This window comes from Homo sapiens, chromosome 19, assembly GCF_000001405.40.
Source record: "Homo sapiens chromosome 19, GRCh38.p14 Primary Assembly".
Lineage (NCBI taxonomy): Eukaryota > Metazoa > Chordata > Mammalia > Primates > Hominidae > Homo > Homo sapiens.
The window spans coordinates 33,601,749-33,619,588 of record NC_000019.10 but is presented as its reverse complement, the minus strand read 5'-3'; the positions used below and the strand labels follow the sequence as shown (position 1 = coordinate 33,619,588).

Below are 17,840 nucleotides of genomic sequence, written 5' to 3'. Positions count from 1 at the left end.
ATTTTTAACTCAGACTTCCTTCTTGTTTTGAGAGGCCATGGGGGAAATCCCCAAAGGGGGCCTGAGGCCCCTGGCACCAACTCGCAGTGAGTTTTCCTCCGAGATTTGCCAAGGGCTGCGTGCCCTTTTTTGAAAGTCAGGCTCAGCCTCTGCAGCGAGGGAGGAGCAGGAAGGCTGCAATTCCCTGCAGGAAGCCTTGTGTGCTCACTTGCGATTTTTGATATGTGTGTCTCCACCGAAAGATTAGTGGCAAACTTGTCTCTTTGCATCCCAACTAAGGTGAAAGACATTTTTAGTGCATGGCCCCATGCGCCCACAGCCTAAGCCCCAGAAGGGCTAATAGAGAGGTTCAGGTGCCAATCTGTTTGCTGCAACAAGGATACAGGAAAGAGGAGGGGGCTTGGCTCTGGGACGCAGGCAGACCCCCGCCTCCACTGGCTCTGGGCTCCCTTTCCTCAGGCCGTTCCTGCAAGTGAAGGTTCCTGCCCGTCTTTGGGCTGGAGGCTGAAGGTGGCACAGTGGGAAGCTGAGACTGTCTCACATTGTGTTTGGCAAGACTGAGTCTTGAGTCCTGAACCTTCCATCTGTTGCCATGAGAGGAACCAGAACAGGCTGGGCATGGTGGCTCATGCCTGTAATTCCAGCACTTTGGGAGGCTGAGGTGGGCAGATCACTTGAGGCTAGGAGTTTGAGACCAGCCTGGCCAACATAGCAAAACCCCATCTCTACTAAAAATACAAAAGTTAGCAGGGCATGGTGGTGCTCACCTGTAGCCCCAGCTACTCAGGAAGCTGAGGCAGGAGAATCACTTGAATCTGGGAGGCAGAAGTTGCAGTGAGCTGAGATTGTGCCACTGCACTCCAGCCTGGGTGACAGCGTGAGACTCTATTAAAAAAAAAAGAAGAAGGAGAAGGAGAAGGAGAAGAAGAAGAAGAAGAAGAAGAAGAAGAAGAAGAAGAAGAGAAGAGGAAGAAGAGGAAGAAGAGGAGGAAGAGGAGGAAGAGGAGGAAGAAGAGGAAGAAGAGGAAGAAGAAGAAGAAGAAGAAAAGAAGAGGAAGAAGAGGAAAAAGAAGGAGGAGGAGAAGAAGAGGAAGAAGAAGAAGAAGAAGAAGAAGAAGAAGAAGAAGAAGAAGAAGAAGAAGAAGAAGAAGAAGAAGAAGAAGACGAGGAAGAAGAAGAAGAAGAAGAAGACTTGTTCCACAGAGGAGTTTGGGAGCCATCTATACTGGCAGGTCGGGAACACCTCATCTGTCTCCCTGCATCCCATGGGAGGAAGAAGGGAATGATGGGATGGGCCAGGAGGTCTGCTTCAGCTCTCCCAGGTGCCAGCTAGGGGGTCTTGAACTTGTCTCCTAACCCCTCAGAGCCTGTTCCCTGTATGCAGAGACAATAGACTGTCCCTGCAGAGGAAAGGTGAAGGGTGTCATGGCATTTTGGGAATTGGAGTCCTGTGACCAGACTGCCCTTAGCCACCCACAGACTAGTCACCTCAGGGTATGACGTGGCCTGGCCTTGCTTCCACGTCCAACATCTGGCCCTGTAATGGCCTCTGCAATATTGTGACCCCAAGGCTTCCTGAAGTCAGTTCAACACACAGACAGGCCAGTGACGTGCTGATCAGAGTGCCATCCAGGCGGGAGACTCCTCCTGGGAACGGACCTGCCTTCCTCAGCTGCTCTCTGGGGCCTGTGTGGGCTCCGGGCCATGCCTTCCCTCCCCAGGCCTCGACCTCCCCATTCGAAAGATGAGGGATGGGGGCCCAGGATCTGAAGGCCTGCTGTGCAATTCCATGATTCCTAAAAGTTCCTCACCAGGGAACGTGGCCCAGACTCATTTCCAGCCAAGGTATCCCTTGGCCACCTTATGGGATGAATGTTCCTTCCCAGGCCTTTTCCTCCTCTCTCCTTTCCCCTTTTCTGTCACCTCTTGGGTTTTCAAGGAGCTGGAGGGTCACTTTGTTTCCTTCTGAGTTGAGTTGTCTGAAATTTCCTGATGTCAATATGCCTGGGTGGGTATCCCCTGCATAAGCAACATTGCTGGGGGTTCTGGGCATCCCTGAACCCCATATACCTGTCACAATTTCGAAATTTCACCATCATTCCTCAGGGTATAAGAATGGTTTCTCTTGGCTGGGTATGGTGGCTCACGCCTGTAATCCCAGCACTTTGGGAGGCAGAGAAGGGCAGATCACAAGGTCAGGAGTTCAACACCAGCCTGGCCAACATGGTGAAACCCCATCTCTACTAAAAACACAAAAATTAGCCAGGCGTGATGGTGCACGCCTATAATCCCAGCTACTGGGGAGGCTGAGGCAGGAGAATTGCTTGAACCCAGGAGGTGGAGGTTGCAGCGAGCTGAGATGGCGCCACTGCACTCCAGCCTGGGTAACAGAGCAAGACTCCGTCTGAAAAAAAAAAAAAAAAAAAAAGGAATAGTTTCTCTTTAAAGAGAAGTTTTTCTGGGGCAGGCTAAAGTGACACCAGTCCTTAACACAGAAGAGAGTTGGTGAACAGATGTGGTTTTCTAGAGAGTGCACAACAGAAACTATGACTAACTTGCAAAGAAAGGGGAGACTTTATTTTTCTGAGACAGAATCTCACTCTATCACCCAGGCTGGAGTGCAGTGGCATGACCCTAGCTCACTGCAACCTCAAACTCCTGGGCTCAAAGGGTCCTCCCACCTCGTTCTCCTGAGTAGCTGGGAACACAGGTGTGCACCACCATGGCCAACTAATTTTTTATTTTTTATTTTCTGTAGAGACAGGGTCTCACTGTGCTACCTAGGCTGGTCTCGAACTCCTAGGCTTGAGTCATCTTCCTGCTTGGCCTCCCAAAAGTGTTGGGATGATAGGCATGAGCCACCATGCCCTGCCAGACTTTCTTAAAAGGACACTGGGGAATCCAACAGAGCAGAGAGGCGCTGAGTACCCAGGAGGGAAGAAGGCAGGAACCAGGGAATAAGGTTCGAGTACTCTGGGGGCAGCTGTTGGCTCTCTAGGATGGGTCGCCATCCCTAGAGCTGCAGACCACTCACTGCCTTGGTGGCCCTGATGCGCTCCCCACAGCCTGAGGTGGGCAGGCCTGCAGGGGGCTTTGCTGACCCCAGAGCCCAAGACAGAGCCATGCCCAAGCCAAGTCCAGCCCCTCCATGCAAACCAGGCTTGGAGCCAGCTTGGCTACTCTATTGAGGTCTTGCCAAACTCAAGTTCATTTTGATGCTTCTTAATTAAAAAAAAAAGATCTCCACTGGACTGCCTGCTCCTGGTCACTCCTTCAGTTCCCAAGTATCCTTGAGACGGATGATCCTCCAGTGGCGGGGCTCCTTCTCCAGGCCTGCCCGTGGTGGGGCGAAGGACACTGTCTAAGGTGATGATGAACTGCAGGAGGGGGTCTAAGACGCTCTTGACAGAAATAGTAGAGATTCTTCTTTTTACTTTTGGGGTAAAGAGTTTAAAATTCTAGAATATGTCCATGTCACAATTCAGTAAATCCTATTTAATTGGAACCAAACTAATTCAGCACTCACGTCATACACGGCCAGGCTGAAGTTTACTTTTTTACTGTCAGTCAAAGGCAGTGGGAATAGGCTTGCAGGGGGAACATCTCCCCCACCTTGTACAGTAAATGGATTTTGACTTCTATTAACATTGGAGTCCTTCTGTGCATCTATCTGCATTCAGATACGAATGAGCTCATTATAAATAGTTCTCTCTATTCAGTCAAGTTGGCTGGGCTAACCTTGTTTGGTTATATGTTGTTAGTCATTAACTGGGGTAGCGATTAAAATAAGGAAATTACTATATGACCTAAATAAACAGCACTTCTATTTAAATGCTCCCTAATTTGGAGAGCTCTCTGGCTTAGTTCAAATTGTCCAGGCTCAGCACTTGCTACTGGCTTCCCAGAGCAGAGTGGCTGTAGCTTGCTCAACTTTACTCAACCTTCTGGAGTCTGAGTAGGGCAGCAGGGCCTCTGAAGTCAGGATCTCCTTTCCAGAATCAGAGCCCAGAGTGCATTTTCAAAACTCCTGTCCTGGCCGGACACGATGGCTCACACCTGTAATCTCAGAATTGGGAGGCTGAGGCGGGCAGATCACGAGATCAGGAGATTGAGACCATCCTGGCTAACACTGTGAAACCCCATCTCTACTAAAAATACAGAAAATTAGCCGGGCATGGTGGCACGTACCTGTAGTCCCAGCTGCTCTGGAGGCTGAGGCAGGAGAATCGCTTGAACTGGGGAGGCGGAGGTTGCAGTGAGCTGAGGTCATGCCAGTGCACTACAGCCTGGGCAACAGAGCAAGACTTCATCTCAAAACAACAACAACAACAACAACAAAACTCTTCTGTCCTTTCCAAGTGTCTTTCCATCATGTGGTAGGAAAGTTGGGCTTAAGTATCTTCTGAGTTCCTGACGTACTTAAAAGCATTTTTTAAAATCCAAACTTGAATTCTATTCTAAATGTAATGCTTGGTTTTAAGGATTGGGTTTGGAGATTTTGAGAAGAAAGAAAGGATTACTTTGAAATGAATAAAACTGTTTCCCCAGGAACACTGCAGAAGCATTTATCAGATGCCACTGGAGGCATGCCGTTAGGTGAGGAAGTGCACTCTGAGACTTCCCTGCCCCAGGGAGGTTTATGATCAGATGGGCTTAGAAATGTGGCATCAAGGACACACCAGTGGTAGTGTCATAGCCAGGCTAGGGGGACTGCATTCTGGAGGAGGCTCAGATCTGCACCCCCAGAGCTAGAAAGCAAAAGGGTCACCAAGCTCGGTACTAGTTATTGCCTGCCCGAGACAGACATTCTAAAAAAAAAAAAAAAAAAAAAAAAATCTCCCAAATGTAGTTGGTAGGTTTCCAGGTTTTCTCAGTCCCTTTTGGCATAGGCAAGTTGTGCCGTAAACCATGTGGGCGGCCACAGCAGAGATGGAAAAACAGCAGCAGGTATGGCCTTTCTTCCCTAGGCAGTCCTGAATAAGCGTTATTTTCACAACGCACAGGAGCCCACACAGTGCCTGGCAGTATGAATCTCTCCACTGGGACTGAAAACAAAAGCCTCACAGATGATGCATCCAAGGAGACAAGATCAGGGGGAGCCCACCCATCAGGCAGGATGCCCCTCAGAGGGACATCCGAGAGCAGCAGACCTGGAATGCCAGCCCCATGTCCAGCACCCGACCTGGGCCCCTGAAGGTAAGCCTCTGCCATCCACTCTCCTGCGGGAAGACGCATGTATTAGTCCGTTCTCACCCTGCTATGAAGAAATACCCAAGATGGGGTAATTTATAAAGGAAAAAGGTTTAATTAATTCCCAGTTCCGCATAGCGGGGTAGGCTTCAGGAAACTTACAATCATGGTGGAAGGCACCTCTTCACAGGGCGGCAGGATGGAGTGAGTGCAAGCAGGGGAAATATCAGAGGCTTATAAAACTGTCAGATCTCGTGAGACTCGCTCACTATCACGAGAACAGCATGGGGGGAAACTGCCCCCATGAGCCAATTACCTCCACCTGGTCCTGCCATTGACACGTGTGGATTATGGAGATTACAATTCAAAATGAGATTTTGAGTGGGGAAGCAGCCCAACCATATCAGTGCAACAGGAAATTTACAAGTTAGCTTTGGAGGGATGTGCTCAAATCCTTATTTTACAGGTCCACAGAGGTGAAGGAGAAACTGGAAAAACCGAGATGCACAAAATTTTTTCCAAATTGGAAGCAGGTAATACTAAAATGTACTGTCAACTCCTTCTGTCCCTGGCTCAGCAAGTGACAGCCAGCCAGCCAGGCTCCCAGGGGACACCCCCTTTCCAGCTTTGCTAAGCCGTCCTCCAGTGCAGAGAAGGTGTCAAGGTCAGCAGATGGCATGGCCTGCAGAAGGTTTATGGAGACATCTCCGGCTTTCCCAGATTCCTGGCTGCAGAAGTGTGTTCTGAATGGACACCCTTGGACATCTGGAAAAATGATACTCTCTCACCAAAAATAGAAGGTGGTTGGGGCAGAAACTGAGACCAGCAACTGCCATTTTGTGGCTGGGTTCTCCCAGCACCCAGGAAACTTCATCCCTCAGGCAGAGCCTGGGATGCCCTGGAGTTGAAAGCACTGCCCAGTGGCGTCCTGTCTGTAGCTATGGAAACAGAGAGACAGTCGCCTCCCTGTTGGCTTTCGTGCCAGAGACATCTTGCTGTCAGTTGTGTTTAAAGTTAGCTTGAAAACAACAAGACGATGCAAGTCTCCTCTTTTGACATCATGCAAGGGGCCCTATGGCACGGAGGCAGCCATGAATATCGCAGTGTGGAACCTGTCACACTCCGTCCCCCGTCCCTGTCCTCAGAGAGAGCTTCCTGTATGCATTCTTGTTGCAGTGATGTCTTGGGCTCTGATGAGTGCACCCTTCACGCCTGTTCCTGCATTGGTGCCTTGTCCCAAGATTCAGGGGGACACAGCATGGGCCAGCTCAGCCCCAGTTACAGATGTGCTAAGATGGTGCCCAAGCCCAAGCCCTAGCTGGAGGCAGGCTCGGAGGCAAAGCCCAGCTCCCTTTACTGGTGTCTGGGCCATCTGCCTTCAGGCACAGACTGTCCAGCCAAGGTCTTGCTGAGGAACTGCAAGGGACAGGTTGTGGGGGGCAGGCGGTGGGCAGTGCAAAGGGGTAATGCAGCTCACCCTCAAGGAGGAAGGCTGGAAGACAGATAGACAGACAGATAGACAGACAGGGACAGACAGACTTTAACTAGAGTGCAAGGCAGACTGGGATGGAGCCATGAACAAGGTGGCTGAGTTGTCTGCGCTGGGAATCAGGCATCAAAGGTCGCATTTGCCCTGACCTAGTCTCACCTGGCATGGCCTCACTTATAATAAGACTCTCAGTCATAAAAACCAAGGAGACAATGATTCAACACGTATTTTGTTAAACACAGAGGATACCCTGACACCTACAGATAAAGCAATCTCACTTCCGTGCTCAGAAAAGAAAAAAAAAAAATAGAACCTGCAATTAGAAGGTAAGATTGCTGAATTCTGGAAAACAAACCTAGCATTTAGGAAAGACAATGTCTGGGGCAGGCCACTAATCAATCAGGGCCTCTGGAGGGAATTAAATAGGGTGTAGACAAGGAAAGATAAGCATTTAATTTATGTAGACTAAACAGATTTCTCACCAAAGGTCATCAAAAATATTAAGCTGCCAGGTACAGTGGCTTGTACCTGTAATCCCAGAATTTTGGGAGGCCAAGATGGGACAATCACTTGAGGCCAGGAGTTTGAGATCAGCTTGGGCAACATAGTGAGACCCTGTCTCTACAAAAAGTACAAAAATTAGTCAGGTGTGGTGTAGTAGTTCCAGCTACTCAGGAGGGTGAGGTGGGAGGATTGCTAGAGCCCAAGATTTTGAGGCTGCAGTGAGCTATGATTGCATCACTGCTCTCCATCCTGGATGACAGAGTGAGACCCTATCTCTCTCTCTCTCTTTCTCTCTCTCTCTCTCTATATATATATATGCACATATATAATATATATTTTATATGTACACATATACACACACATATATGCATACACACACTCACACACATTTATATATATATATAAAGCTAACATTATTCCATTTTTGAAAATCATAACCAGATGGCATGTATTAGTCTGTTCTCACATTGCTATAAAGAACTACCTGAGAATGGGTAATTCATAAAGAAAAGAGGTTTAACAGCTCACAGGTCTGCAGGGTGTACAGGCTTCTGCTTCTGGGGAGGCCTCAGGAAACTGACAATTACGGTGGAAGAAGAAGCAGGCACATCTTACTTGGTGGGAGCAGGAGGAAGAGAGAGAAGAGGGAGGTGTTACACACTTTTAAACAACCGGATCTCATGAAAACTCTATCACAAAACAGCACTAGGGGGATGGTACTAAACCATTAGAAACCACCCCCATGATCCAGTCACCTCCTACCAGGCCCATCCTCCGACAGTGGGGATTACAATTCGACATGAGATTTGGGTGGGAACACAGAGCCAAACCATATCATTACACTACATGAGAGATGCTTGAATCAGGCCAGGCTATTGGAACACAACTTGGTGTCTACCTTGGCTTGTTCCCCCAAAAGGAGGCAAGAGACAAGCACATGGGTTCAGGCAGCTTGTTTGGGAGTGATCTCAGGAAGTACAAGGCAGGCTGGCAAGCTTTGATGGTACCAGGGAAAGTCCCTGGTAAAGAAGAAGAGAGATGTAGGTGCTTGAGATTACAACTGCCTCCTGAGGTTGAGCTCGGGTGGGCTGAGCAGATATGGGAAGCCATCAACAAGACCTGCTACAGTGTCATAATCAGCACAAGACACTCTATGCAAACTACTGTTTACATACTTTTTCTCCTCCAGTTTGGTTGTTACAACGCATTCCTTAAGGATGTTAAATTGTCAATATTGAAGTTCTTCCTGGGATGTCTTTGAGAAGATGGCAACAGTGTTAGGGGCATCATTTTGAATATGCCACTAATAAAAAACAGACAAACTAGATAGCAAAACCAAAAACCTATGGGAAACACTCACAATAAAACTAGTGGGCAATGCATCCCCTAAAACACCAAAATATTGGTGGGTAGGGACTGCCTATTTTGTAACTAACAGTTATTAAACTGGCATAGTATTAGTATGCATACAGAAGGAATCAAAGGGAAGAAACAGGGTGTTTGTCATCTCTAAGAACAGGAAACTGCAGTTTGGATGTGACTTGTTTGTCCCCACCAAAATTCATGTTGAAATTGGATCCTCTATGTGGTGGCATTGGGAGGTGGGGCCCAGTGAAAGGTGTTTGAGTCATGAGTAGATTAATGCCCTCTCTAGGGACTGAGTTCTTGCTCATGAGGGAATGGATTAGTTACAATGAGAGCAGGATGACAAAAAGAGTCTGGCTTCCTTGGTTTCTCTCCCTCTTGCTTACCCCCTTGCCACGTGATCTTTTTGTGCACATCCCCACTTCCCTTCCATTTTAGGCAAGAGTTGAGGCAGCATGAGGCCCTCACAGATGCAGCTGCTCCATCTTGAACTTTCCAGCCCCAAGAATCATGAGCCACATAAACCTCTTTTCTTTATAAATTACTCAATATTCTGTTATAGCAACATAAAATGGACTAAGACAAGGAGTAACCCCAAAGAGGCAATAGGTATTCATTCACTGGAAAGTACAGAGATCCAGCTTCACAACAGGAGCTGAAACGGGAAGGGTTTTGCTCACTCCATTAGTGTGTAAGTACAAAGGGCCTCATGTAAAAAGATGAGAAGAGGATGGAGTAGCATAGCCCCTGTGAACTCTTGAAACTGACCAGCCAGGTCATCCTTCCAGGACAAGGCTGCACATCAAGAAGACACTGCTGAAACAGGAAACAAAATTGAATAGAGCAGGAATGATAGAGGGGAAGGAAGCAGAGTATCCAGATAAAAGTAGAGACATTTTTATAAGAACCAGGAATCTAAAAAAATAAAATAAAATAAGCTGCCATATTTTTTAACAGTGCATGAAAACAACAAAAGAGAAAGCTTTGTGAAGTTATAAAAGCTGTCTTGAACTCAACCCCATTTTTAAGTTCAGAAAAATTAATTTCACCTTTACAAAAATGAGCAGCAGGCAAAGATCAAAGTCCTACTCTATACAGTTTTTTTTTAAAAAGAGTAAGAAATAGAATAACATCTTCACAGATAATGAAAAACATGCCAAAAGATATGCCTGCAAAACAAAAAACTATAACCTACTGTTTTAAGACAAGCTAGAAGCAATTATTTAAACAAAATAAGATGCAAAAAAACCCAACATAAATCAGAAATAGAAAAACTCAGAAATTAACAAATTTAGGGGGGGAAATGAGTTTAAAAGAAAAAAGTTTCAGAAATTAAGACTAACCTAGAAAGATTGCAAGAGTGAATAAACACAAGAGATAATTCCTCAGAAGAAACAGAAAATGAAACAAATGGAAATTTTTAAAAATCTAAGAAATGAGCAAGGATATAAAGGCTTCAGGAGAAAGTGACAAATCTCGAAGTTGGGTAAAGAGGATCCAACATACAGAGAACAGGGTTCCCTGAAGAAAAACCCAAAGCAGGGATCAGAACAAATACTAGAAGCTATAGTTCAAAAAGGTACTATGTTATTTAGAAATAAAAAGTTTTCAAACTACATATTGAAAAGTCACACCATGTTCCTGAGAGTACTGACCCAGAATGACTAACACCAAGGCATGAATTTAGTGAAATGATAGAACTTCAAAGGAAAAGAAAAATCTTTTGAGTGTCTAAGCAAAAATAGCCCATGATTTGTAAGGGATTGGAAATTGGATTATCATCAACTTTTTGACTGCAACATTTGTGCCAGAAGAAAATTGAGTAACATATTTAAATAACTCAAGAAAATAAAATGTGAGCCAAGGATCTTATATTCAGGGAAACTGACTTTCAAGTATAAAGGGTACAAACAAACTTATCAGTATGTAACAGTTCAGGAAATATTGTTCCCATGATTCCTTCCTGAGGAATTCACTAGAGAATGAACTTCAGAGAAACAAAGTGTCTAGAGAGACATCAACATAAGGTGGTGAACATTAAATATATAATTTACAGAATTAAGAATAAGTGAAAATTTTAAAAAAGCATAGTATATAATGGCTATATTCTCTGACAATATAGATATAGTACAGTTATTTATAAATTGAGGGATAAGAGAATAAGAAATGCATGCAGAAAAAAAGCATAATAAAAAAATTTTAACTGTTTTCAATAATGATGTTGATGGAAGTAGTATTGGCATTTTATACTAAGAATGCTGTGTGTGTAATATGGGATAAAGGAAATAAGTAATTCTTGTGTATTTCAATTCTGTCATCTCCTGGGCCTTTGAGAACTAGGATTTTTTTTGGTGAGAAAAAGGAGTTCAGGAATAAGAAAGAATTTAAGTAAACATCCAATAATTCCTTTACAAATTTTTTTTCAGGTAGAGATGGAGTCTCACTATGTTGCCCAGGTTGGTCTTGAACTCCCGGGCTCAAGCAGCCCTCTTACCTCAGCTTCCCAAAGTACTGGGATTATAGGCATGAGTCACTCCACCCAACCTCCAATAATTCTTAATTTTTTTTTTCATAGAGATGGACATTTTGCTATGTTTGCTGGTCGCAATAGAACTCTTGGGATCAAGAAATCCTCCCTCCTCAACCTCCCAAAGTGCTGGGATTACAGGAGTGAGCCACTGTGCCCGACCAGCACCCAATAATTCTACATTTGAATTGGAAGAATCAATATAGACATATGAGACATTTTACATTTATTTCTTAATAGAATTTATTTTTAGAGCAGTTTTAGGTTCACAGTAAAATTAAGTGGACAGTACAGAGAGTTCCCATATACCCCCTTCCCATAGGCACATACAGCCTCCTCCACCATCAGTACTCCAGATCGTTGTGGTACGTCTGCTGCAATTGATGTACCAACATTGACCAACATCAACCAAAGTTCATAGTTTACATTATGGTTCACTCTTATTGTCTGTGAATTTCGACAAATATATAATGACATGCATCCGTCATTACAGTATTGCACAGAATAGTTGCACTGCCCTAAATATCCTCTGTGTTCTGCTGATTCATTCCTCCCTCCCCACAAACCCCTGGCAACCACTGAGTTTTTTACTGTCTCCACACTTTTGCCTTCTCCAGAATGTCATAGAGTTGGAATCATATAGTATGCAGCATTTTCAGATTGGCTCCGTATACGTAGCAATATGCATTTAAGTTTCTTCCATGTCTTTTCATGGCTTGATAGCTCATTTCTTTGTATATTTTGGTTAGCAGTTCTCTATTGGATATATCTTTTGAAAAAAAAATTTTTTTTTGAGACAGAGTTTTACCCTGTCACCCAGGCTGGAGTGCAGTGGCGGGATCTCGGCTCACTGTAGCCTCTGCCTCCAGGGTTCAAGCAATTCTCGTGCCTCAGCCTCCCAAATAGCTGAGATTACAGGCACATGCCACCATGCCCGGCTAATTTTTGTATTTTTAGTAGAGATGGGGTTTCACCATGTTGGCCAGGCTGGTCCCGAACTCCTGACTTCAGATGATTCACCTGCCTTGTCCTCCTAAAGTGCTGGGATCTTTTGAAATACTTTCTTGCAGTCTGTGGCTTGTCTTCTCACTCTTTTGACATTTTTTCTTTTTTAAAAAGATAGATAAACAGATAGATGATAGATGGATAGAAGATAGATAGATAGATAGATAGATAGATAGATAGATAGATAGATAGATAGATAGATTCTCTACTGATTGAAACCAGGACTTCTTGGAAAAATGGCTGATTGCAGGTCTAGAACAGGAAATGTGTAAGATAAGCCTGGACATCTTGTCATGCTGGATAGCAAGGAGGCTATCAGAGACTAAAAGATCATATCAAAAGGACACGGGAACCATCTGCAAGGGGCTCCCACTGGCCAAACATAGAGCCATTTGAGCATCAGTAAAGACGATAATTGTGATGGATAAAAACCCATAAAATATGTTTAAATCTTCAATTTATGAAACTACTTAAAACATTGTCACCTTCAGAGGATGAGGAACAAATTCACTCTCTGAAAAACAGGTAAATAATGAGGAAAGAATCGCACATTTATCCTGCCTCTGTTTAATATGTGAACTGTACCACTGGGTAAGCAAATGGTGGACGACTGGAAGCATCTCTTTTTAAAAGTACTCAAGTTAATATGTGAGGAAGTGACAGAATTAGAATATCACCATTTTGAAACCCCTAGTGAATTAACAGAGCTAAGCATTGTGCTGCAACAGCTGTTAGCATCACACAAAGAGAGGCAAACCGGATATTATGTGCCTCCTAACGAAGGAATGCAGCACCTCTGGTCCTGCCAAAAGGACAGAAGGTGAGTGTGATCCAACTTCTGGATCCATCTGCCAATTTGCAGGAAATAGGGAAGAACATCTTGAACTGCACCAAGAGTATCAATCAGCAGAATCCCGACAGTAGGAACTCTGTGGATCAAAAGGCTTTGGTTCCTCGATAGAGAAATTGTAAAGAAAAGAAGTGGGAGGAAACCTGTGGATTGAAAGAGACTCAAACGATAGATCGCATTTTTTTAAAATGGCAAAACTACATCATATGTCTTGGAAGGCACACTTAGGTGATGAAAGATGTTACCAGAAAGGGGGTCCTGATCTAGACCCCAAGAGAGGGTTCTTGGATCTCGTGCAAGAAAGAATTCAGGGCGAGTCCACAGTGCAAAGCAAAAGCAAGTTTATTAAGAAAGTAAAGGAATAAAGAATGGCAACTCCCTAGACAAGAGCAGCCCCAAGGGCTGCTAATTGCCCGTTTTTATAGTTATTTCTTGATGACATGCTAAACAAGGGGTGGATTATTCATGCCTTCCCTTTTTAGACCATATAGGGTAACTTCCTGCGTTGCTATGGCATTTGTAAACTGTCATGGCGCTGGTGGGAGTGTAGCAGTGAGGACGACCAGAGGTCACTCTCATTGCCATCTTGGATTTGGTGGGTTTTGGCTGGCTTCTTTATTGCGACCTGTTTTATCAGCAAGGTCTTTATAACCTGTATCTTGTGCTGACCTCCTATCTCATCCTGTGACTTAGAATGCCCTTACCATCTGGGAACACAGCCAAGTAAGTCTTAGCCTCATTTTACCCAGCCCCTATTCAAGATGGAGTTGCTCTGGTTCAAAAAACTCTGACAAAAACATAAAGAAAGACAGAAAAGAGGTTACTGTAAAAGTCATGTGAGGGTCATTTTTGCAGGGAAGGTGGCAGTTCAGACTAGAAGGAAACCCAGGAGGTGCTTCCCAGGGACAACAGGGACATTGGCAAAGTTCTATTTCTTGGTCTGGGTGGTGGCTGTAATAATAACTCCATAAGCTATACATGTGTTTGACTTATTTTTTTCTGTCTGTTTTATTTTACAATAAACATTTTTCTTTCTTATTTTATTTTATTTTTATTTTATTTTACTTTATTTTCGAGACGGAGTCTCACTCTGTCACCAGGCTGGAGTGCAGTGGCATGATCTCGGCCCACTGCAATCTCCGCCTCCTGGGTTCAAGCGATTCTTCTGCCTCAGCCTCCCAAGTAGCTGGGACTACAGGCGCGTGCCACCACACCCAGCTAATTTCTGTATTTTTAGTAGAGAAGGGGTTTCACCATGTTGGCCAGGATGGTCTCGATCTCTTGACCTCGTGATCCGCCCACCTCAGCCTCCCGAAGTGCTGGGATTACAGGCGCAAGCCACCTCACCCAGCCTCTTTTTTTTTATTTTTTATAGACAAGGTCTTGCTCTGTTGTCTGGGCTGGAGTACAGTGGTGTGATCATAGCTCACCGCACCCTCTAACTCCTGGGCTCAAGTGATCCTCCTGTCTCAGCCTCCTGAGTAGCTGGGACTACAGGCACATGCCACCATGCACAGCTATTTTTTAAAAAAAAATTGTAGAGATGAGGTCTCGCTATGTTGCTCAGGCTGGTTTGAAACTCCTGGGCTCAAGCAATCCTCCCTCCTCAGCCTCCTAAAGTTCTGGAATGATAGGCATGAGCCACTGCGCCCAATTCCTCAATCTTCACTTTGAACACAAATTTAATGATGCTTCAGAGAAGTTAAGGCAGTGCCCAGCCGTTGCCCAACCATTTCCCCCGCCCTGCCTCGGGAAAGCATCTGCCATGGCAGCTGCTCAGGAGAAGCAGTGACATCTGTGGACTCTGGGGCTCAAGATAGGTTCATCCTGAACAACGCTTCAGGGAGAGACAAGCACAAACAGCTGTGTGTGGGCCTCTGACACTTCTGCTTCCCATCCAGGCTTCCCACTCCAGCTCACAGGGCTCCCCCATAACATGGGGTTCTAGTGCACCCTCATGTAAACACAAGGTACCACCTGCATTCTTGGAGATCCAATTTTGGGCTGTGTTTAGAAGGTAGCATCATAAAGGTGATTTCGATGAAATAAGGTCTACATCAAACTGCTGAGAATAATGGCTTCCCATAGCCCCCACCATCCTGGTTTATGCCCACTTAACAGATGGAACAGCAGAGGCTGAAAGATCAGTACTTATCCTGGTTGGAGATGAGTAAGGGCTCTTGAGGGTGGTGCTACTATTTTCCATTTAACAAGCATTTACAGCAAAGGCATGGAATCAACCAAAATGCCCATCAATAATAGACTGGTTAAAGAAAATGTGATACATATACACCATGGAATACTATGCAGCCATAAAAAGGAACGAGATCATGTCCTTTGCAGGGACATGGATGAAGCTGGAAGTCATTATCCTCAGCAAACTAACACAGGAACTGAAAACCAGATACCGCATGTTCGCACTTACAAGTGGGAGCTGAACTATGAGAACACATGGACACAGGGAGGGGAACAACACACACTGGGGCTTCTGGGGTTGGTGGGGGATGGAGAGCATCAGGATAAATAGCTAATGCATGCAGGGCTTGATACCTAGGTGATGGGGTGATGGGTGCAGCAAACCACCACGGGACGTTTACCTATGTAACAAACCTGCACATGTACCCTAAAACTTAAAACAACAACAAAAAAAGCATTTACTGAGATTTTCCTGGGCAGAGATGGTTTCACCCTGGACCCTGCACATGTACCCTAAAACTTAAAACAATTTAAAGAAGCATTTATTGAGATTTTCCTGGGCAGAGATGGTTTCACCCTGGACCCTGGCCTCCCCAGCTCAACTGAGGGAGGGAGGAGCAGGTGGTTCACAGGACAGGAAGCAGTTTTCTCTCACCTGGTGTTTACTTGCTCATTATCTTCTAAGGCCACAGATGCCTCTCACGCCTCCACCGACAGACACATTTACCTCCTTCCCAAAGGACAAGTTACAGAAATCCCAAGGACCCCAATTCCCTACACTCTGGTCTCTGGGCCAGCTCTTCCAGAGCATCACTCCCTGTGATTCATTCTGATGCAGGAAGCCAAAGATTCCTTCAACTTCATCATCCCTGTGATGTTTAGGGACAGAGCAAGCAGGGCATGCCTGGGCCTATACCTCGCAGAGCCTCAGCCTGGCCCGCAGACCTGAAAACGTCTGCACCTCGTGATTTCCAGAAGGGGATAGAGGCTTTCTGGTCCACAAAAGGAAAAGACAGGGATTAAATCATATTTCTCTCAGGTAACCCACTTCACCACCAGTTTGAGTACAGTAAACCCATTTTAAGAGCATCCCCCAGGAAGCATAAAGTTTATTTCGTTGTACCATATAATCCCCTGTAATGGAAAACCAGTAATGAGGATGCCAGCAGCAGGTGCAAAAGGCAGTTTTACATCAATAGAAAATTCAATTCTCATTAATCTCTTCACAGCCAACATAATTGAGTCTTCACGGGGACCACCGGACTCACCCTCACCCCCACCTCACCATTCCCTTCGACAGGCTTGTCTTCCCATCGCTGTGCTGGAATTTGTCTGGAAACAAAGAGAAAAACATCGCTGATACCATCTCAGGCGATGTGGGTTTGCAGTGAGTCTCTTTATTCCCATCACTGAGTTATTACTGACATCCAAGGCGCTGAGCTCAGTCTCAAAGGCCTTCCCTCACTATGTAAATAGCATCCTGCTTTGTTATTTATTTCTTAGCTTTCTTCTTTCCTCTCTTGCCCCCAGGGTTTTTTCTTTCTGAAGATATCACAAGGGCCACATGCCTCTTTGCTATCGCAGCGCTCTCCGTTTTAGCAGCATGAGGAAGAATTATGATCCAGGCAAGAGCCCGTGCCTTGTGTGTGGTTGTATGTCTTGTCGGCCTCCCCATCCTCCCAGGTTGAGGTGATAATTCATGCGGGGGTGACAGCCGGTTTAAGAGCGATCACTGTGGAGCCACTGGAAAATACACAGACTTCATAAACTCCCAATATTGCCTCATCTGATCTATTTCTTTCATTGCTTTCTTCTCCCCCACGTTAAGCTGTGATCATCCTTAGCGTTGAGTAAAGTTGCACCAGCCTGATGTTCAGGCCAGCTCCATTAATTAAAACACTCCCTCTGCATCAATTGCCAATAGGCTCTCTTTCCAGCAAGGGCAAGCACATGAACATTAAGCCAGGCCAGGCATGCTGGCTCACGCCTATAATCCCAACACTTTTGGGAGGCCGAGGTGGGAGGATTGCTTGAGGTCAGGAGTTCGAAACCAGCCTGATCAACACAGCAAGACCCCGTCTCTAAAAAAAAAATTTAAAAATTAGCTAAATATGGTGGTGCATACCTGTAGTCCCAGCTACTCCAGAGGCTGAGGCAGGAGGACACCTTGAGCCTGGGAGGTCGAGGTTGCAGTGAGCTGTGATGGTGCTACTGCACTCCAGCCTGGGTGACAGAGTAAGACCCTGTCTCAAAAATAAATAAAGCCAAAACCAGACTTAGATTGGTTCTTCATGCAGACCATGAAACACAAGCCAAGCAGAGATGGGGCAGGGGTGTGGTCCATGAGCCAAGGTCTGTCATGGAAAGGGAAAGCTGCAACTTCAGAGTTCTCCCTTGAAGCAGGCCTCATAACCCCATAATCAGAGTAAGCAGTTGCCAGGATGAGTAGTCTCCTACCTCGTTCAGGGTCTGGGGTCTGTCTTGGATGCTTAGGAAAACTCTGCTCCTTCTATTGCCAGAGATAGCTCTGGGTTTTTTCCCTTTTCAGGTGAAGTGATGAGTTTTGCCAGCTGAGGCTGAGGCACTGTCAGGTGTGGGAAGAGCAGCCTTGTCATTCAGCAGCCTGTAACTGCCCAATGGGTTCTTCTTGCCTGCTGGTTAGATAGAGCCAATCTACTGAGACAGCATTATTACAATAGAGAAAGACTTTAATA

The 17,840-nt window shown here is 45.4% G+C and overlaps 1 annotated feature.

The window, feature by feature from the left end:
- Positions 15,474 to 16,673: an enhancer, noted in NCBI's record as "MED14-independent group 3 enhancer chr19:34093822-34095021 (GRCh37/hg19 assembly coordinates)". NCBI's record gives its function as "activates an origin of replication core promoter dependent on BRD2, BRD4, P300/CBP and CDK7 cofactors, and independent of MED14, by STARR-seq in HCT116 cells {active_cell/tissue: HCT116}" and the evidence as "EXISTENCE:reporter gene assay evidence [ECO:0000049][PMID:35650434]".